This window comes from Homo sapiens, chromosome 2, assembly GCF_000001405.40.
Source record: "Homo sapiens chromosome 2, GRCh38.p14 Primary Assembly".
Classification (NCBI taxonomy): Eukaryota; Metazoa; Chordata; class Mammalia; order Primates; family Hominidae; genus Homo; species Homo sapiens.
Window position 1 is genome coordinate 13724676 of NC_000002.12, and position 23009 is coordinate 13747684.

Genomic DNA, 23009 nt, shown 5'->3' on the forward strand with positions numbered 1-23009 from the left:
TCTGTTAGAGTTTTATCCACCTATAAATATAATAGTCTCACCATCAGAAGGTTACAGATGGTTCCAAAGAGCAAACTGAAACTCAATTGAAGAATATTAGCGTGTCACAAGTCAGAAGAAAATGTGTAGAACACTAAAGAAATAGGTTAGCCTCAGGGCATCCTAAATGTCTTCTTTATGAAAGTAGATTTGGCCAAAATATTTGGCATAATTTATATTAACAAAGCAAAGACCAGAAGTAGACTGGTATGGAGAACTTGAGTGGAAAATATGAACACTAAAAAATTTACTGCTCCTCAGAAACTAAAAAGGGGGTCTAATGAGCCAACTTAGAGATTCAACAATGCCCCATCTATATGGATCCGGATCAAATTAATATATTTACTGATTTTTCTAGACAATTAAAATGAAATTAATATGATTGCTCAGGAAAGGCTGGCACATTTCTAACAGATACAGTGGCTTCTCTTTCAGAATAAATTTTGTGACTTATGCCAAAATATTCCTTTAAGATACAAATAGAGTAGAGGCAGTGGACATCTCAAATGAACCTATGATCCTAGCAGCCTCACAACCTTAACAATTTGAAGCAAATAATTGGAGGAAGAACATGACTTTCTATTTTGCAACACTGCTCCAACAAAATTTATTAGGTCAAAACTGTCAAATTAAATCTTTTTAAGCTGGTAGATATCTAGAGATCCCAAAGGAATAGGCTGCGTAAACCAATTTATAGCACTCATGTATACCCCAGTTTCTGTGCACCCAATGACCTCTACAAATCAAATATTAGATTAGTTACCCTCTACTCTTTGGGCCAAAGATTTTATTAAACTGAGCAGAATACATGGAGCTTACTTTATTAAAATTAAAATTATTCCGTATAAGCCCTTAGCCGAATTATATTTCAGTGTGTTTTGAGACCTCAAGCAACCTCAGGAAGAAGACCTATTATTGAGGACTCACTGTGTCAGGCATCAGTCCTTGCGGTACTCCCATATTGCCAGTTAAGCAGCTTAGTGTAAAAGGCTACTTATGTGTACAAGGCCTCAGGGCAATCAATAGAACTGTGATCCCTAGATTTCCCGAAGCTTCTAACTACCAAGTAAACACTTTAAGATGGCAGATTTATTTGCAGTCTTATTTAGGAACTAGTAGGTAAGGGCAGTCAGTATTTATTTACTCTTTTCTGGGACAATCAGCAATCTCCCTAGTTGGTTATGCCTCTGGTATTTATGAAAACACCCTTATATTTCTCCCGATGTCTAAATAATAATCACAGATTTGACTCTTGCTTGAAAATACACCCTGGAATGAAATGTAGATGATTTAGTGCTGTGCTCCTTGAAGGAGTCCACAGGAGAACTCCATATATCGCTCAAGAAGATTAACTGAAGAGGAACAGAAAGCACCTAGAGAAAACTTGCAAATCTGTGAAGAAATTATGCAATATTTAGGTTGTGATCTCATCAGACATGTATTCTACTCTGTGAGAATAAGCTTATTTGACTACATTGACTCCAAATTAAAAACAACTAAAAGCTTTTTCATTTTATATTTTAGGATTGACTGCTTTATGTAGGCAATAATGCCTTTTCCCCTAAAATACATCAGCCTTCACATGTGTTTACTAATACTGGTATCTCCCATGGGATAGGAAAGGAAAACAGTTCCTTTTCTTTAAGGACCTGTCTGCAGCAGCCTCCAACTTTGGGTATCCCTAATTATGCTAAGTCCTTCTGTCTTTTTGTTTATGAAAGAGGAGATTGTGAATTAGGACTACTAACATGGTAAAGTAGTTTTATACCAGACCCATGCTTTTAGCCTAACCCTCCACTCAAAAGGGTAAAGCATAGATTTCTGCTTGTGTGAAGTATCAGTGGCGGCCAAACTGCTCTGTGCTAACTTGACAGGTTCCACATGCAGATAACTCTGGTTAATTCTTAATTTACCACATGAAGACTCATGAAAAGTTTTTATTGTTTGTACTACCATTAAACTTTGTTAAAATCTTAATCCTGCGAGTTTACTTCTTCTACGTGGAGAACCAAATGTCTATTTAGTAGTAACTCAAGAATTAAGAATGTTCAATTATGATTGTACAGATCCCTCTTATTCAATACTAAATTAATATTGTTTGATATGGCTCTTATCTTAGAAATGGTGAAGGCGTTCGTTATGTGGGATATGCTGTTACCACTGAACTTGAAGTTATCAAAGAAGTTCTATTCTTAACCCTTAATCTGCTCAGGTAACTAAACTCAACATCTCCAATTTGAGCATGAACTCTGGAAAAAGCTTAAAAAGTAAACCCTTATGCAAATAGTAGATGTGCTTTCCGAGTTTTGTGCTATTTGACAATATATGGCTGAAATACACAGGTCTATTGAAAATGGTAAATAACAGTGCAGTTTAAAAAGCTATTCAATGCAGCAAAGTGCTATCTGTAAATAAACTAGTACTCCATATTAGAGACCACTCCTGAAGCTAAGGGCAATGGCTTGTCTTATTCCGTTGGTAAATGTGGCATTTACCCACCCAATATATTAAGTGCTAATAAATTGATAAAATTGTGATTGACTCAAAGCAATCAGCTCAAAATTCTGAAAAAATATATATCCACTATCAGAGGACTTCTCCGTCTTTAATGATGGATACTGGTGATTTTATCCTGGCTTCCTAGAAACATTACATTTCCAGGTCAAATTGCTTCTTTATTGCTCTTTATATAATTAAAAAGATAGTTTCTACATGGCTCATCTATAAGCAGCAAAATCCTGAGACTATGTAAAGATGAAAAATTGTTCAGGGCTTCCTCCTCAAAGTCTTATCAAGCATTTATTTACAAATGAATTTCATGCAACAGCCCAAATATTTATGAGTATATTTTATAAAGTTCTTGTTTATAAAGTTTCTGGTTAGCTATGATATTTTCATTGATAGAGGGCTATAGTTGATGAAGTGACAAAAATACTATTTAGGTTGGTGCAAAAGTAATGTCAAAGACTGCAATCAATTTTGCACCAAACTAAATACTACACTCTTTATTCCCTACACAGAAAGAGCCCATCAACCTTCTTCTCTTACTGAAGAAATTAGTTCACTGTTTATATCACCCCCAGTTATTAGGAAAATTAGTAACAGTAAACATGATGCTAAAGTTAAAATCGTCCAAACTATAAGAATTTGCTTCTCTGTCTTGGCCTAAAATTTTTTCACTAACATTAGTGGTCATGGAAAAAATCTCAGAGTACAAAGCAACTTTCTCCCTGTGAGATCGTATCAAAACATTTCACGGAATTTGTAATATTTAGAAAAATTTTACCAGTAACTGGCTTCATGTTACACATAGATGTAGCTAAATGCAGTCAAGGACTTACTTGTTATACTTATAATTAGATTTAGCAAGTACAAGCCACCTTCCAAACATTGCATGATTTCCAGCATGGAAACTGGATCTACTGGAAGAGAGACTAATAGTAATACAAAAGTTGTTTATCCTTGCTTGAAGAGAACATTTTATATCCTTCTGAGCATAGCAATAGCAGTCAAGATTCAAAACAGTGCAGGCATACTACTAACCTGTACACCAGTGGAATTTTACACTCATGAGTGAGCTCAAATTAACACCATTTAATAAAAAACCTCCAGAAGCCTAGGACTTTAAGACTCAAATTGTGTTCCCAAGAAGATGACAAGATATGGCTGCTTATATCCAATACAGTGGCACATGACACACCAGAATAATTTTCTTAATTCATTTTCCTTTGGAAATTTTTGGATGCTATCCTCCTGCTGCTTTAATTCAAATACTTTGAAGTCATTGCTTTTGTTTATGATAGCTTTGTTATAATCAATATACATGATTAGAGTTTGCCTATAAATTTTCAATAAGATTTAATATATCAAAATATAGAGAATATGAACACTTCTTTTTTCAAGCACAGTATCTTCCCATGAGACTAGTCCTACGTAATTCTAGTCACTATCTCTTCCTGTGATACCTTGTGGAGGCACAATGTCACTGCTCAGATGTTATATGGGTAACAAGATCTGAATGGGACACAGAGCTGGCAGCAATTCAATTCTGAAAATAAAAATGGAAACACAAAACGGCCATCACAAACAATGCATATCATTTTTAATAATGTTTAATACATGTAGATGTAATTATCAGGGAAAAAAATATGATAGGTCATTTTTATTTAAGAATTCCCTAAGCTTTGATATTTGGGTAATTCCTTCTCCCTAAAACTATGATGTGGAACTAGAGGGTTGTGGAAGTTACCAGTTGATTAGATGGGTGCCTATAATTTGGCCTATTTTATCATAATCTTTAGAATCTGTTAAATTTCTTTTTTGAGATGGAGTCTGGCTCTGTCACCCAGTCTTTAAATTGGCAATTTTGACAAATGATTTTGTGAGGTGTTGTTAACTGTGCTAGAAATTGTGAATGTTAAGTTGTTTATATGCTACCCAATTAAATGTCATCCAGCCACTCAAAAATGTTCTGACATTTTTCAGTGGGTTTCTTCAAATTTGCTATCAATATCATTTTTTTGTAAATACGCCAAAAAAAAAATGCAAAAAGAAGGTAAAAAATTTTGTTGTCTAATGCTCCAAAATGAAATCAGAAACTGATCTAAAATCTGAATTAGCCAATGCAATATAGATTTTGATAACTCAATCAAAATAATGAAAAACAGATAATCTTTTCATTATGAAAAAGGAAATGAAGATAACAGATACAATGACATCCAACTACAAGATGGTTTTGGACACATTTTTAACAACCAAACCAGTGCCAAACCAAAATGAAAGAAATGTCTTTATTTTTCAAATGTGTGTTGCTAAAGGTCAAAATAGTTGGTGCTCTAGTTCCATTGGGCTGCTATGACAAAATATCATAAATTGGGTGGCTTATAAACAGCAGAAATTTATTTATCACAGTTCTGGTGAATGAAAAGAAGTCCGAGATCAAGGCACAGGTAGGTTTAAGGTCTAGTGAAAGTCAATTTCATAGGTGTTCATAGAGGGTGCCTTCTTTTATGTTCTTTCATGGTAGAAGGGCTATAGGTTTTTATCAGATTCTTTAATAAGGGCACTAATCCCATTCATGAGACCTCTGTCCTCATGACCCAGTCACCTCCCAAAAAGGTCCATCTCCTATTATTATTACTTTGGAGGTTAGCATTTCAACATACAAATTTTTGGGAGACACACTTTTTTTTGGCCAAATTAATAAACCTCTGTATTCCTCAATTTACTCTTGTATAAATGGTGATAATAAGAATGCACACTATAAATTAGGGATGGAATTTGTTAAGATAATGAGCGTAAAGTGCAGCATGATGTATTGTCCACTGAAAGAACTTAATAGATGTTAGCAAAAATTACCATAAACAGTGATAGGACAGTGTATAATGCAAACTGATGGCTATAGAAGAGATATATAGATGTAGTTCTGGAAACTCAGAACAGGAAACAATTACTGTTGCCTGGATGTTTTAAGAAAGCCTTAGTTGAGGAGAGGAACTGGAGTAAAAACATAATAATACAGGGATTTTTCAGTTAGGGAGAGTAACCCAGTCAGAGAAAATGTCCACTCCATCAGGATGTCAATTCCACAAAAGGGATATTGTCTTTGGATTTTGGCACTGGGCGTGTTATCAATTAAGGACTTATTTATTGAATTAAATTGAATTACAGGAATCAAAATAGATATGCCAAAAATTGTGAATACTTCAATATGACTACAGAATACAATATTTAATAAGCAGAAAGCTATATGAGATGAGACTGGAGAAAAACTTGATATACTTTATACTTCAGGCTAGTATTATCAGAATTCCTTTTATTCTCACCAGATGTGTATATATCTATCTCCAGCCACAGATGGGAAAAATAAATATTTTAATAAAGTTCTAAAAAAAGCCATGTGAAGATTTTGAGTTGAGTACCAACAAAATCAGATTTTTATTTTTAATGAAAAACAATGTTTTATGACATTTATATTTTGAGAAAACCTAAAAGATTTCATTTTACTAATTTTATTTGGTATATTTGAAAAATTCTTTTGTGTTCGACAAGAAATATTTAATTCTTTTTTAAATACACTAAGCACAGTCATGTAACCTACAATAAAAATACTAAAAATAATATTTTAAACTGACACATTTTGTTTTTTAGATGTAGTTGATTTAAAAGTCTCTACTTATGAGTTTGGTAAAAAATAAACAAAGATGACTAAAATGAAAACAAACAGAAGATTCAGAAATCAAATTTAGAAGAGTTGCCACCATTCTCACTTGCATTTGCTACAGACTCAAAGGAGACAGGGGAGTGAGGGAGCTCTGTAGAGAAAAAGGGACGATTCCAGGTATGCTTTCACTCGAGATTCTTGTCATGGAAAAGCTGGAAATGAGCAGCAGAACATCTTAGGCATGTAAACCAAAAACAAAATTCTGAGCCCCTGCAACCATCTGAATGGATCTCTCCTCTCAGCAAGGGCATTCCTAAGTTAACATGAAAAAATAGTTCAGGCCACAACGTGGAGGGGAATAGAGATGCCTCATTTATATATACCCTTCTCCCTTTTGGAGTCACTGATAGAAGAGAATCTTTAAGTCTGATAAAAATCATTTTTAATCTACTCTCTCTGAAACCTGCTACATGGACACTACATCTGGAAGATAAAACCTTGGTGTCCACAAATCCTTAGTATAACCCAGACATACCTTTCTATTGATAATAGCTCTTTCAACCAATTGCCAATCAGAAAATCTTTGAAGCTGCCTGTGACTTGGAAGCTCCCACTTAGAGTTTTTCCAACTTTCCTAACTGAACCAATATACATCTTACAAGTATTAATTGATGCCTTATATCTCCCTAAAATGTATAAAACCAAGTTGTGCCCTGACCACCTTGAGTACATGTTCTCACAATCTCCTGAGTGCTGTGTCACGGACCATGGACACTCATATTTGGCTCACAATAAATGTCTTCAGATATTTTACAGAGTTTGACTCTTCATTGACAGGTGATTGCTTTGGAAAACATATTTGGCTTTCTGTAGTTGGTGCTGTCTTGAAACTGAGGTAAAGAGAAGTAGCAATCATTGATCCAGTTTGGATGCTTTGGGGCCAATTGCTGTAGTTGGGGTTTGGCTTCCTGGCCAGGTTGCTGCAGACATGGTGGATTAGAATTCTGCTGTCCTACATGACCTGGCCATTGACCATTTCTACATTAATTTCATCACAGCTTTAATCTCTTTCATAAATGCTAAGCACTTTGTATTATTACTAAACCCTTCAGTCCTCAGGGGAATTCAAAGGCTGTATTAATGCTAAAATTCCATTTTTATTTTTGCATAGTAATTGCTTGTTAAAATAAAAAAACAGATTATGATATATAATTTGAAAAAAATAATTATTCTCAATCACTGAGCTGGATTGACGAATGCTTGCTTTTATCTCTTGAATTTTGGGTATCTCTTAATTTATTAAAAATATGTGTGTTTTGATATTTACTTATCATCTCATGGTTTAATATCACAAAAACTGTTTTTTTAAAAATAACCTTTGTTCATTAGCATTAGATTCATTAAACCAATCTCAACTGTGTGCTTGAATTATTTCTATGCTCCTAAAAAAGTATAATAATGCAATGTAACTGCCTGATGGGTTCTCTCTGTCCACTGCACAAATACCATGGCATTGCAGTAAAAAAGAGTTTAACTGATGCAAGGCTAATCATGTCAAATGGGAGATAGAGTTATTGCTCAAATAAGTCACCTAGAGGTTTTGAGGGTAGGAGTTTTTCAAAGACAGCTTGGTGGGCAGGGAGCTAGGGTAATGGCGGTTCTGATTGGGTCAAAGATGGAATCATAGGGAAGTCGAAGCTGGCCTCTTTGGCTGAGTCACTTCTGGGTGGGACCACAGGAGTGATTGGCAGGTGAAGGTGGAGCCATCAGTGATCAGACATGAAAAAAAAAAAAAAACAGAAAAAATATCTTGAAAGGCCAATCTTAGGTTCTACAATAGTGATGTTATCTGCAAGGGAAATTGGGGAAGTTGCATATCTTATGACCTCCAGGATAATGCCTAACAATGGTTTCTGGGTCTACTCCTTAGCATAATTCAGGCTTCTCTCCTAACCCTAGCTTTGTGATCTCTCATTAGCTTTACAAAGGCAGCTGAGTTTTGGGAAATGGCTACTGTCATTTAAACTATAAACTAAATGTCTCCCAAAGTTAGCTGGCCTAAGCCCATGATTACTTAAAGCAGTTTGAAGGCGAAAGGCAAGATGGTGGCTGGCTAGATCAGATCTCCTCAACCACCATGATTATCTGACATAATTTTTGCAAAGGTGGTTTCAGCAAGAAATCAATAACACTTGTTTGGTAAACAAACCCTTACTTGGTGTTGGAGTTTTAAAACAGTACAATGGGTTTATAACAATACATTTTGATAAAAATCTAATTATACTTATTTAAATGTAAATAATATGAAAAAAGTTCATGCAAAAGGCAATTGTTGAATTAAGTTTAGAGCTTTTGTTTTGTGTATCAGTACACAAATACTTTTAGAAGAAAAATTTTTTTTTTATTATTATACTTTAAGTTTTAGGGTACATGTGCACATTGCGCAGGTTAGTTACATATGTATACATGTGCCATGCTGGTGCGCTGCGCCCACTAACTCGTCATCTAGCATTAGGTATATCTCCCTATGCTATCCCTCCCGCCTCCCCCCACCCCACAACAGTCCCCAGAGTGTGATGTTCCCCTTCCTGTGTCCATGTGTTCTCATTGTTCAATTCCCACCTATGAGTGAGAATATGCGGTGTTTGGTTTTTTGTTCTTGCGATAGTTTACTGAGAATGATGATTTCCAATTTCATCCATGTCCCTACAAAGGACATGAACTCATCATTTTTTATGGCTGCATAGTATTCCATGGTGTCTATGTGCCACATTTTCTTAATCCAGTCTATCATTGTTGGACATTTGGGTTGGTTCCAAGTCTTTGCTATTGTGAATAGTGCCGCAATAAACATATGTGTCTATAGCAGCATGATTTCTAGTCCTTTCGGTATATACCCAGTAATGGGATGGCTGGGTCAAATGGTATTTCCAGTTCTAGATCCCTGAGGAATCGCCACACTGACTTCCACAATGGTTGAACTAGTTTACAGTCCCACCAACAGTGTAAAAGTGTTCCTATTTCTCCACATCCTCTCCAGCATCTGTTGTTTCCTGGCTTTTTAATGATTGCCATTCTAACTGGTGTGAGATGGTATCTCATTGTGGTTTTGATTTGCATTTCTCTGATGGCCAGTGATGATGAGCATTTTTTCATGTGTCTTTTGGCTGCATTAATGTCTTCTTTTGAGAAGTGTCTGTTCATGTCCTTGGCCCACTTTTTGATGGGGTTGTTTTTTTTTTCTTGTAAATTTGTTTGAGTTCTTTGTAGATTCTGGATATTAGTCCTTTGTCAGATGAGTAGGTTGCAAAAATTTTCTCCCATTTTGTAGGTTGCCTGTTCACTCTGATGGTAGTTTCTTTTGCTGTGAAGAAGCTCTTTAGTTTAATTAGATCCCACTTGTCAATTTCGGCTTCTGTTGCCATTGCTTTTGGTGTTTTAGACATGAAGTCCTTGCCCATGCCTATGTCCTGAATGGTAATGCCTAGGTTTTCTTCTAGGGTTTTTATGGTTTTAGGTCTAACGTTTAAGTCTTTAATCCATCTTGAATTGATTTTTGTATAAGGTGTAAGGAAGGGATCCAGTTTCAGCTTTCTACATATGGCTAGCCAGTTTTCCCAGCACCATTTATTAAATAGGGAATCCTTTCCCCATTGCTTGTTTTTCTCAGGTTTGTCAAAGATCAGATAGTTGTAGATATGCGGCGTTATTTCTGAGGGCTCTGTTCTGTTCCATTGATCTATATCTCTGTTTTGGTACCAGTACCATGCTGTTTTGGTTACTGTAGCCTTGTAGTATAGTTTGAAGTCAGGTAGTGTGATGCCTCCAGCTTTGTTCTTTTGGCTTAGGATTGACTTGGCGATGCGGGCTCTTTTTTGGTTCCATATGAACTTTAAAGTAGTTTTTTCCAATTCTGTGAAGAAAGTCATTGGTAGCTTGATGGGGATGGCATTGAATCTGTAAATTACCTTGGGCAGTATGGCCATTTTCATGATACTGATTCTTCCTACCCATGAGCATGGAATGTTCTTCCATTTGTTTGTATCCTCTTTTATTTCCTTGAGCAGTGGTTTGTAGTTCTCCTGGAAGAGGTTCTTCACGTCCCTTGTAAGTTGGATTCCTAGGTATTTTATTCTCTTTGAAGCAATTGTGAATGGGAGTTCACTCATGATTTGGCTCTCTGTTTGTCTGTTATTGGTGTATAAGAATGTTTCTGATTTTTGTACATTGATTTTGTATCCTGAGACTTTGCTGAAGTTGCTTATCAGCTTAAGGAGATTTTGGGCTGAGACAATGGGGTTTTCTAGATATACAATCATGTCATCTGCAAACAGGGACAATTTGACTTCCTCTTTTCCTAATTGAATACCCTTTGTTTCCTTCTCCTGCCTAATTGCCCTGGCCAGAACTTCCAACACTATGTTGACTAGGAGTGGTGAGAGAGGGCATCCCTGTCTTGTGCCAGTTTTCAAAGGGAATGCTTCCAGTTTTTGCCCATTCAGTATGATATTGGCTGTGGGTCTGTCATAGATAGCTCTTATTATTTTGAAATACGTCCCATCAGTACCTAATTTATTGAGAGTTTTTACCATGAAGGGTTGTTGAATTTTGTCAAAGGCTTTTTCTGCATCTATTGAGATAATCATGTGGTTTTTGTCTTTGGCTCTGTTTATATGCTGGATTACATTTATTGATTTGCATATATTGAACCAGCCTTGCATCCCAGGGATGAAGCCCACTTGATCATGGTGGATAAGCTTTTTGATGTGCTGCTGGATTCGGTTTGCCAGTATTTTATTGAGGATTTTTGCATCAATGTTCATCAAGGATATTGGTCTAAAATTCTCTTTTTTGGTTGTGTCTCTGCCTGGCTTTGGTATCAGAATGATGATGGCCTCATAAAATGAGTTAGGGAGGATTCCCTCTTTTTCTATTGATTGGAATAGTTTCAGAAGGAATGGTACCAGTTCCTCCTTGTAGCTCTGGTAGAATTTGGCTGTGAATCCATCTGGTCCTGGACTCTTTTTGGTTGGTAAGCTATTGATTATTGCCACAATTTCAGATCCTGTTATTGGTCTATTCAGAGATTCAATTTCTTCCTGGTTTAGTCTTGGGAGAGTGTTTGTGTCAAGGAATTTATCCATTTCTTCTAGATTTTCCAGTTTATTTGAGTAGAGGTGTTTGTAGTATTCTCTGATGGTAGTTTGTATTTCTGTGGGATCGGTGGTGATATCCCCCTTATCATTTTTTATTGCATCTATTTGATTCCTCTCTCTTTTCTTCTTTATTAGTCTTGCTAGCAGTCTATCAATTTTGTTGATCCTTTCAAAAAACCAGCTCCTGGATTCATTAATTTTTTGAAGGGTTTTTAGTGTCTCTATTTCCTTCAGTTCTGCTCTGATTTTAGTTATTTCTTGCCTTCTGCTAGCTCTTGAATGTGTTTGCTCTTGCTTTTCTAGTTCTTTTAATTGTGATGTTAGGGTGTCAATTTTGGATCTTTCCTGCTTTCTCTTGTGGGCATTTAGTGCAATAAATTTCCCTCTACACACTGCTTTGAATGCGTCCCAGAGATTCTGGTATGTTGTGTCTTTGTTCTCGTTGGTTTCAAAGAACATCTTTATTTCTGCCTTCATTTTGTTATGTACCCAGTAGTCATTCAGGAGCAGGTTGTTCAGTTTCCATGTAGTTGAGTGGTTTTGAGTGAGATTCTTAATCCTGAGTTCTAGTTTGATTGCACTGTGGTCTGAGAGATAGTTTGTTATAATTTGTGTTCTTTTACATTTGCTGAGGAGAGCTTTACTTCCAAGTATGTGGTCAATTTTGGAATAGGTGTGGTGTGCTGAAAAAAATGTATATTCTGTTGATTTGGGGGGGAGAGTTCTGTAGATGTTTATTAGGTCCGCTTGGTGCAGAGCTGAGTTCAATTCCTGGGTATCCTTGTTGACTTTCTGTCTCATTGATCTGTCTAATGTAGACAGTGGGGTGTTAAAGTCTCCCATTATTAATGTGTGGGAGTCTAAGTCTCTTTGTAGGTCACTCAGGACTTGCTTTATGAATCTTGGTGCTCCTGTATTGGGTGCATATATATTTAGGATAGTTAGCTCTTCTTGCTGAATTGATCCCTTTACCATTATGTAATGGCCTTCTTTGTCTCTTTTGATCTTTGTTGGTTTAAACTCTGTTTTATCAGAGACTAGGATTGCAACCCCTGCCTTTTTTTGTTTTCCATTTGCTTGGTAGATCTTCCTCCATCCTTTTATTTTGAGCCTATGTGTGTCTCTGCATGTGAGATGGGTTTCCTGAATACAGCACACTGATGGGTCTTGACTCTTTATCCAATTTGCCAGTCTGTGTCTTTTAATTGGAGCATTTAGTCCATTTACATTTAAAGTTAATAGTGTTATGTGTGAATTTGATCCTGTCATTATGATGTTAGCTGGTTATTTTGCTCATTAGTTGATGCAGTTTCTACCTAGTCTTGATGACCTTTACATTTTGGCATGATTTTGCAGCGGCTGGTACTGGTTGTTCCTTTCCATGTTCAGCGCTTCCTTCAGGAGCTCTTTTAGGGCAGGCCTGGTGGTGACAAAATCTCTCAGCATTTGCTTGTCTGTAAAGTATTTTATTTCTCCCTCACTTACGAAGCTTAGTTTGGCTGGATATGAAATTCTGGGTTGAAAATTCTTTTCTTTAAGAATGTTGAATATTGGCCCCCACTCTCTTCTGGCTTGTAGGATTTCTGCCGAGAGATCTGCTGTTAGTCTGATGGGCTTCCCTTTGAGGGTAACCCGACCTTTCTCTCTGGCTGCCCTTAACATTTTTTCCTTCATTTCAACTTTGGTGAATCTGACAATTATGTGTCTTGGAGTTGCTCTTCTCGAGGAGTATCTTTGTGGCGTTCTCTGTATTTCCTGAATCTGAACGTTGGCCTGCCTTGCTAGATTGGGAAGTTCTCCTGGATAATATCCTGCAGAGTGTTTTCCAACTTGGTTCCATTCTCCCCATCACTTTCAGGTACACCAATCAGACATAGATTTGATCTTTCCACATAGTCCCATATTTCTTGGAGGCTTTGCTCATTTCTTTTTATTCTTTTTTCTCTAAACTTCCCTTCTCGCTTCATTTCATTCATTTCATCTTCCATTGCTGATACCCTTTCTTCCAGTTGATTGCATCGGCTCCTGAGGCTTCTGCATTCTTCACGTAGTTCTTGAGCCTTGGTTTTCAGCTCCATCAGCTCCTGTAAGCACTTCTCTGTATTGGTTATTCTAGTTATACATTCTTCTAAATTTTTTTCAAAGTTTTCAACTTCTTTGCCTTTGGTTTGAATGTCCTCCCGTAGCTCAGAGTAATATGATCGTCTGAAGCCTTCTTCTCTCAGCTCGTCAAAGTCATTCTCCATCCAGCTTTGTTCCGTTGCTGGTGAGGAACTGCGTTCCTTTGGAGGAGGAGAGGCGCTCTGCTTTTTAGAGTTTCCAGTTTTTCTGTTCTGTTTTTTCCCCATCTTTGTGGTTTTATCTACTTTTGGTCTTTGATGATGGTGATGTACAGGTGGGCTTTTGGTGTGGATGTCCTTTCTGTTAGTTAGTTTTCCTTCTAACAGACAGGACCCTCAGCTGCAGGTCTGTTGGAATATCCTGCCGTGTGAGGTGTCAGTGTGCTCCTGCTGGGGGGTGCCTCCCAGTTAGGCTGCTCAGGGGTCAGGGGTCAGGGACCCACTTGAGGAGGCAGTCTGCCCGTTCTCAGATCTCCAGCTGGGTGCTGGGAGAACCACTGCTCTCTTCAAAGCTGTCAGACAGGGACATTTAAGTCTGCAGAGGTTACTGCTGTCTTTTTGTTTGTCTGTGCCCTGCCCCCAGAGGTGGAGCCTACAGAGGCAGGCCTCCTTGAGCTGTGGTGTGCTCCACCCAGTTGGAGCTTCCCGGCTGCTTTGTTTACCTAATCAAGCCTGGGCGATGGCGGGCGCCCCTCCCCCAGCCTCGCTGCCACCTTGCAGTTTGATCTCAGACTGCTGTGCTAGCAATCAGCAAGACTCCGTGGGCGTAGGACCCTCCGTGCCAGGTGCGGGATATAATCTCGTGGTGCGCCGTTTTTTAAGCCCGTCGGAAAAGCGCAGTATTCGGGTGGGAGTGACCCGATTTTCCAGGTGCCCTCCGTCACCCCTTTCTTTGACTCAGAAAGGGAACTCCCTGACCCTTTGTGCTTCCCAAGTGAGGCAATGCCTCGCCCTGCTTCGGCTCGCACACGGTACGCGCACCCAGTGACCTGCGCCCACTGTCTGGCACTCCCTAGTGAGATGAACCCGGTACCTCAGTTGCAAATGCAGAAATCACCCATCTTCTGAGTTGCTCACGCTGGGAGCTGTAGACCAGAGCTGTTTCTATTCGGCCATCTTGGCCCCTCCCCCCTAGAAGAAAATTATGAAAAATGGACATATAAATAGAACTACGAATGCATAATATAGTTTATTTTAAAGTTTTAAGTGGCTTTAATATTTTTATTATATCCAGTTTCAGTAATTTAAATATTTTGAGCTAGTAGATATTTACTACATTTCACACTAGATTTATAAACAATGATATAACGAACTGATTAATCTTATGAATAGGATGCCACTGATGTTTCATTGTATTCAACTACTATTTACCAAGAATCAGATATTGTACTAGGTTAAGGGAGCATAAAACTAAAACACCTACCATCACTGTTCTAATGTAATTTTCAAATTTATGTGGAAGTGTGTGTATACACTCATGTATGTATAAAATATACACATACATTATATAATGTATATGTAATATATATTATATATTATGTATAATATTTAATACATAGATAATATATAAATCATATATACTATCTAGAATACAAATATATATTAACCTCTAATTATTTATTCAAAAAGATTTCACGAATACCTAGTATTTGCCAGCAAATATTCTAAGTGATAGAGAAACAATTATATTCAAGCCATAAAAAGTTCTTCACGCAGCTGAAATTCAGTGAAGAAGACTGATATGGTTTGGCTCTATGTCCCCACCACATCTCATCTTGAATTGTACTCCCATAATTCCCATGTGTTGTGGGCGGGACCCAATGGGAGATAATCGAATCATGGCTGAGGTTTCTCCCATACTGTTCTCTTGGTAGTTAATATGTCTTACGAAATCTGATGGTTTGATAAGTAGAAAGCCGTTTCATTTAGCTTTCATTCTTTCTCTTGCCACTGCCATGTAAAAAGTGCCTTTTGCCTTCTGCCATGATTTTGAGGCCTTCCTAGCCACATGGAACTGTAAGTCCATTAAACCTCTTTCTTGTGTAAATTGCCCAGTCTCAAGTATGTCTTTATCAGCAGCATGAAAATGGACTAATACAGTAAATTGGTACCAGAAGTGAGGTGCTACAGAAAAGATACCTGAAAATGTGGAAGTGACTTTGGAACGGGGTAACAGGCAGAGGTTGGAACAGTTTGGAGGGTTCAGAAGAAGACAGGAAAATATAGGAAAGTTTGGAACTTCCTAGAGACTTGTTGAATGGCTTTGCCAAAAATGTTGATAGTGATATGGACAATAAACTCCAGGCTGAGTTGGTCTCAGATGGAAATGAGGAACTTGTTCGGAACTGGAGCAAAAGTGAGTCCTGTTATGTTTTAGCAAAGAGACTGGCAGCATTTTGCCCCTACCCTAGAAATTTATGGAATATTGAACTTGGAAGAGATGATTTAGGGTATCTGGAGGAAAAAAATTCTAAGCAGCAAAACATTCAAGAAGTGACTTGGGTGCTGTTAAACGCATTCAGTTTTATAAGGGAAGCATGGCATAAAGTTCATAAAATTACCAGCCTGACAATGCAATAGAAAAGAAAATCCCATTTTCCGAGGAACAATTCAAGCCATCTACAGAAATTTGCATGAGCAATGGGGAGCTGAATGTTAATCCCCAAGACAATGGGGAAAATGTCTCCAGGGCATGTCAGAGGTCTTCATGACAGCCCCTCCCATCACAGGCCTGGAGGCCTAGAAGGAAAAATGGGTTTCATGGGCTGGCCCCATGGTTCCTGTGCTGCATGCAGTCTAGGGACTTGGTGCCCTCCATCCCATCTTCTCTTGGCCGAAAGGGGCCAAGGTACAGGTTGAGCTGTTGCTTCAAAGGATGGAAACTCCATGTCTTGACACCTTCCACATGGTGTTGAGTCTGTGGGTGCACAGAAGTCAAGAATTGGGAACCTCTGCTTAAATTTCAGAAGATGTATGGAAATGCCTGGATGACCAGGCAGAAGTTTGCTACAGGGATGGGGTCCTCCTGGAGAAGCTCTGCTAGGGCAGCACAGAAGGAAAATGTGGAGTCAGAGCCCCTACACAGAGTCCCTACTGGGGCACCACCTAGTGAAGCTATGAGAAGAGGGCCACCATCTTCCAGACCTTAGAATGGTAGATACACCAACAGCTTGCACCATTCTCTTAGAAAAGCCACAGACACTCAATACCAGCCCATGGAAGAAGTCAGGAAGGAGGCTGTACACTGCAAAGCCACAGAAGCAGAGCTGCCTAAGACCATGGGAACCCACCTCTTGCATCAGTGTGACCTGGATATGAGACATGGAGTCAAGGGAGATCATTTTGGAGCTTTAAGTTTTGACTGCCCTGCTGGATTTTGGACATGCATGGGTCCTGTAGCCCCTTTGGTTCAGCCTATTCTTCTCATTTGGGATGGCTGTATTTACTGAATGCCCGCACACCCATTGATCTAGGAAGTAACTAACTAGCTTTTGAATTTACAGGCTTATAGGCAGAAGGGACTTGCCTTGTCTCAGATGAGACTTTGGATTGTGGACTTTTGAGTTAATGCTGAAATGTGTTAAGACTTTGGAGGACTGTTGGGAAGGCATGATTGGTTTGGAAAGTTGAGAACATGAGATTTGGGAGCAGTCAGAGGCAGAATGGTATGGTTTAGCTCAGTATCCCCAACCAAATCTCATCTTGAGTTGTACTCCCGTAATTCCCACATGTGGGAGGGACCTGGTGGGAGATAACTGAATCATGGCTGAGGTTTCCCCCATACTGTTCTCATGGTAGTGAATAACTCTCATGAGATCTGATGGTTTCATACGGGGAAACTCGTTTTGCTTGGCTTTCATTGTCTCTCTTTCTGCCACCATGTAAGAGGTGCCTTTCATCTTCCACCGTGATTGTTAGGCCTCCGTATCCATATGGAACTCTAAGTCCATAAACATCTTTGTTTTTTAAATTGCCCCATTCCAGGCATGTCTTTATCAGCAGTGTGAAAATGGACCAATACAGTGATCAAAAATAAACAGAAATGTTATGTTGTGAAAGAAAATATTTTGGGCCCCCAACACCACTAAGGAAAACTCAAGCTGGAAACTGCTTAAGGCAAAACTGCATTCCATTCTATTCAAAGTTATCCCTCTGCTCACTGAGATGGATGCATATCTGATTCCCTCCTTTCGAAAGGCTAATCAGAAACCCAAAAGAATGCAATGCAACCTTTTGTGTCTCACCTATCCGTGACCTGGAAGCTCCCTTCCGCTTCAAGTCTTCCTGCCTTTGCTTCAAGTTGTCCCGCCTTTCCAGGCAGAACCAATGTATTCTTACACATATTGATACATGTCTCATGTCTCCCTTAAAATGTATAAAACCAAGCTGTGCCCTGACCACCTTTGGCACATGTCGTCAGGACTTCCTGGGGCTGTGTCACGGGTACGTCCTCAACCTTGGCAAAATAAACTTTCTAAATTGACTGAGACCTGTCTCAGAGTTGTTGAGTTCAAAATTTGGTAACCATGGAGGGATTCTGAATGGAAATGCCCCTGACCTTTGACAAATCTTCTATCAGTGCTTGTTACCAGCATGAGCTAACTTTATGGCTCAAACCAATAGTACAAATTGCTAAGGGCTGAGAGCATCCCCTCCAGAGATCCTTTATCTCCCCAAATTTGGTCGAGATCTAAATTTTATTTTGCTGTACAACTGGTTTTTTGGTTTTTTTGGAGTTTTAATTGCCTCAACAAGGAAGGCAAGTTTTCCTGTTTCCATGAGGACGGACGGCAGGAAATTCCTTTATGGAGTTTGAGCTTGCTTCCAACAGGAAAGATGAGATTTTTTTTTTCCCTGCTTCTAGGATGGTAGAGAGCAGTCTACAGCATGAGACCCATCACTAGGTAACAAACTGGTGTGGCATACTGTCTTGCAAATTATTTCCAAATGACTGAAGTTAGCATTTAACAACCAGCTGGTGTTAATTTCTGATTACATTTAGAATGCTCAGAAATTGTATAATTTGTGTGATCGTTGTTAGTTTTGCTTAACTGTTTTGTTGTTTATTTCTGCCCTGATCAAATCTGAAGGGGAACCCTAAATTATGGGAAACAAGGCCTCTGAAGTGGGAGGAAAATGGCCAACAAAAGGAAAACAATTGATTTTTAATATTAACTACCAAAGGGGCTTTATTTACATAACAAGGCGACATTTTTGCCAGCAAGACCAAACTGAAAGAGCAATGGCCGTACTTCTGAAATAGCAGCATTTTGTCTTAGCTTAAATGTGGTGCTCAGTGGTTAAGAGTTAGCTTAATTAAAAGTCTAACATGCAAGATGTGTGTGTATGCATGTGTGTATGTTTGTATTTGAAAGGCCTTCGTGTTTTTGTTTTTTTGTTTGTTTTTCTTTCCTAATACCGTGTCTTTTTTTGAGCAATAGTTTTTTTCTTCTTCTTCTCAGTTGACTGAATTCTGTTTTCACCTGATTTTTTGACTAAAATAGTTATTGAAACAGAGGCTACTCTTGGGTTTTTAAGGAAGAGTATAGTTTAATTTTATGTTTTGGCCCCCTAAAAATTAAAGCATCTCTTTCTAGCACCATGAAACTTTTTCTCTCTGTACCTTATGATATAAATTTTGCTGTTTGATTTTCATCTTAGTTGTTTCCTTTAATGTGAAAATTTAAGGCTATTTAGCTGAGAATTGCCAAGGTTTATAAAACAGGTTATCAAGAAGCTGAAAGTCTAAGATAGGGAAAAAAAGTGGCAGGGGGGATCTTTATAAATCTATACAATGTACTTCTATTGGCATGCCTAATACAGCTTTTTATATATTTATGTCTTGTGTACACAATGATTCACTACAAAAAATATATAAAAGAGCTCTAATTAATTGGCTTAAAAAATAAAAGCACTCATATCAGGTACTAACAAAGAAAAGACTAGTCAAATGCTTTTTCAAGTTTATGTAAGTTAAGTAAAATCTTTAAAAAGTAAGCTAGCTTTAAAATTTTTGGTAAAATAATATTAGAAATGTCTTAAGAATTGCCAGCCTACATTTTTGTTTGCATTTATTAATTAAGCAATTTCGTACTTATCAATGTCAAATACTATAGGGTGTCAAAATTTGACGTAGGGGTTACAAAACTATAAACCCAGTCCCAAAGAGAATGATCTTTTCTTGTTTAATTTTTAATAAATAAGGCATTGATATGGGTTTAATGAAAATAGCTGCATCTTGAATGTAATAAGATTATCATAACTTCTAATCCTGTGGCTTTAGGCATTCTAGTCCACAGACAACAAGGAGCCTTGTTTTGGGAAAGAACTGTTATTGTCTTTGTTTCAAAGCTAAACTATAAAGTAAGTTTCTCTCAAAGTTAGTTCTCCCTATGCCCAGGAATGACCAAGGACAGGTTGTAGGTTAAGAGCAAGATGAAATCAGTTAGGTCAAATCTTTTTTCACTGTCTCTGTTATCATTTTGCAGTGCTGGTTTTATAACATTAAATCATAGCTATCACAGTTTTCATAAATAACCTAGGTAAAAGATTAAAATAAAATAATTAGGTAAATGTAATGGGGTAAATACTTATAAACAAATGGGTCATAATTTAGAATATAAAGTTCTATTAAATTAAATAATAGATATTTCATCATCTGTGTATTCTCCATTTAATATATATTATAGGAAAACATTCTTGCTAAAAAAAGATTGTTGGGACTTACCAAGGTGGCTGAATAGGAACAGCTTCTGTCTGCAGCTCCCAGGGAGATGAATGCAGAAGGTGGGTGATTTCTGCATTTCCAACTGAGGTACCCAGCTCGTCTAATTGGGACTGGTTAGACAGTGGGAGCAGCCCACGAAGGGCAAGATGAAGCAGGGTGGGGCGTTGCCTCACCTGGGAAAGGCAGGCGTTCGGGGTACTCCCTCCCCTAGCCAACGGAAGCTGTGATTGTCTATGCGGAGAAGAATGGTGCACTCTGGCCCGGATACTATGCTTTTCCCATGGTCTTCACAACCCACAGACCAGGAGATTCCCTTGTGTGCCTACTTCACCAAGGCCCTGGGTTTCAAGCACAAAACTAGGTGGCTGTTTGGGCAGACACCTAACTAGCTGCAGAAATTTTTTTTCCATACACCAGTGGCACCTAGAACACCAGCAAGACAGAACCGTTCACTTCCCTGGAAAGAAGTCTGTAGCCAGGGAGCCAAGTGATCTAGCTCAGCAGATCCCACCCCCACAGAGCCCAGAAAGCTGAGATCCACTGGCTTGAAATTCTTGCTATGAGCACAGCAGTTTAAAGTTGACCTGGGACACTAGAGCTTGATGGGGGAGGGGTGTCCACCATTACCGAGGCCTGAGCAGGCGGTTTTCCCCTCACAGTGTAAACAAAGCCTTAGGAAAGTTCCAACTGGGCGGGGCCCTCTGCAGCTCAGCAAAGCCATTGCAGCCAGACTACCTCTCTAGATTCCTCCTCTCTGGGCAGGGCATCTCTGAAGAAAAGACAGCAGCTCCAGTCAGGGGCTTATGGATAAAACCTCCATTTCCCTGGGATAGTGCACCTGGGGAAAGGGGCTGCTGTGGGCACAGCTTCAGCAGACTTAAAAGTTCCTGGCTGTCAACTCTGAAGAGAGCAGCAGTTCTCCCAGCACAGTGCTGCAGCTCTGCTAAGGGACAGACTGCCTCCTCAAGTGGGTCCCTGACCCCTGTGCTGCCTGATGGGGAAGGGGAAGACACCTCATACAGGAGAGTGCCAGCTGGCATCTGGCGGGTGCCCCTCTGGGATGAAGCTTCCAGAGAAAAGAACAGGCAGCAACATTTGCTGTTCTGCAGCCTCTGCTGGTAATACCCAGGCAAACAGGGTCTGGAGTGGACCTCCAGCAAACTCCAACAGACCTGCAGCAGAGGGGCCTGACTCTTAGAAGAAAAACTAACAAACAGAAAGGAAGAGCATCAACATCAACAAAAAAGACGTCCATGCAGAAACCCCATCTGAAGGTCGCCAACATCAAAGTTCAAAGGTAGATAAATCCATGAAGACGGGGAGAAAACAGAGCAGAAAGGCTGAAAAATCCAAAAGCAGAAGGCCTCTTCTCCTCCAAAGGATCACAACTGCTTTCCAGCAAGGGAACAAAACTGAACAGAGAACGAGTTTGATGAATTGACAGAAATAGGCTTCAGAAGGTGGGTAATAATAAACTGCTCTGAACTAAAGGAGCATGTTTTAACCCAATGCAAGAAAGCTAAGAACCTTGAAAAACGGTTAGAGGAATTGCTAACTAGAATAACCAGTTTAGAGAAGAACGTAAATGACCTGATAGAACTGAAAAAACACAGCACAAGGACTTCGTAAAGCATACACAAGTATCAATAGCTGAATCAATCAAGTGGAAGAAAGGATGTCAGAGATTGAAGATCAACTTAATGAAATAAAATGTGAAGACAAGATTTAGAGAAAAAAGAACGAAAAAGGACAAATAAAGCCTCCAAGAAATATGGGACTATGTGAAAAGACCAAACCTAATTTTGATTGGTGTACTGAAAGTGAGGGGGAGAATGGAACCAATTTGGAAAACACTCTTCAGGATGTCATCCAGGAGAACTTCCCCAACCTAGCAAGACAGACCAACATTCAAATTCAGGAAATACAGAGAACAGTACAAAGATACTCCCCAAGAAGACCAACCCCAAGACACATAATCATCAGATTCACCAAGGTTGAAATAAAGCAAAAAGTGTTAAGGGCAGCCAGAGAGAAAGGACAGGTTACCCACAAAGAGAAGCCCATCAGATGGCGGATCTCTCTGAAGAAACCCTACAAGCCAGAAGAGAGTGGGGACCAATATGCAACATTCTTAAAGAAAAGAATTTTCAACCCAGAATTTCATATCCAGCCAAACTAAGCTTCATAAATGAAGGAGAAATAAAATCCTTTACAGACAAGCAAATGCTGAGAGATTTTGTCACCAGCAGGCCTGCCTTACAAGAGCTCCTTAAGGAAGCACTAAATATGGAAAGGGACATCCAGTAACAGCCACTGCAAAAACATACCAAATTGTAAAGACCATCAACACTATGAAGAAACTACATCAACTAACAGGCAAGATAACCAGATAACAACATAATGACAGGATCAAATTCCAAGATAATAATATTAACATTAAGTGTAAATGGGCTAAATGCCCCAGTTAAAAGACAAAGACTGGCAAATTGGATAAAGAGTCAAAACCCATCAGTGTGCTGTATTCAGGAGACCCATCTCACATGCAAAGACACACATAGGCTCAAAATAAAGGGATGGAGGAATAAATTTCCCAAGTAAATAGAAAGAAAAAAAAAAAAAAGCAGGAGTTGCAATCCCAGTCTCTGATAAGACAGACTTTAAACCAACAAAGATCAAAAGAGACAAAGAAGAGCATTACATAATAATAAAGTGATCAATGCAACAAGAAAAGCTAACTAACCTAAATATATATGTACCCAATACAGGAGCACCCAGATTCATAAAGCAAGTTCTTGGAGACCTAC

At 38.7% G+C, this 23009-nt stretch overlaps 1 long non-coding RNA gene across 5 annotated transcripts in view; it reads left to right on the forward strand.

Annotated features, from left to right (window-relative positions):
- The window catches only part of LOC105373438 (uncharacterized), a 220483-nt gene that overhangs the window by 186762 nt on the left and 10712 nt on the right, over positions 1-23009 (forward strand). For 2 of the 5 annotated variants that reach the window (NR_188380.1, NR_188383.1), the window contains exon 4: positions 2159-2251. The exons of 2 other annotated variants lie outside the window; for them this stretch is intronic. This is a non-coding gene — a long non-coding RNA (uncharacterized LOC105373438). Of the gene's footprint in view, positions 1-2158; positions 2252-20167; positions 20265-23009 lie in introns of all 5 variants that reach the window. One more of the 5 variants, NR_188382.1, reaches the window with a different exon arrangement.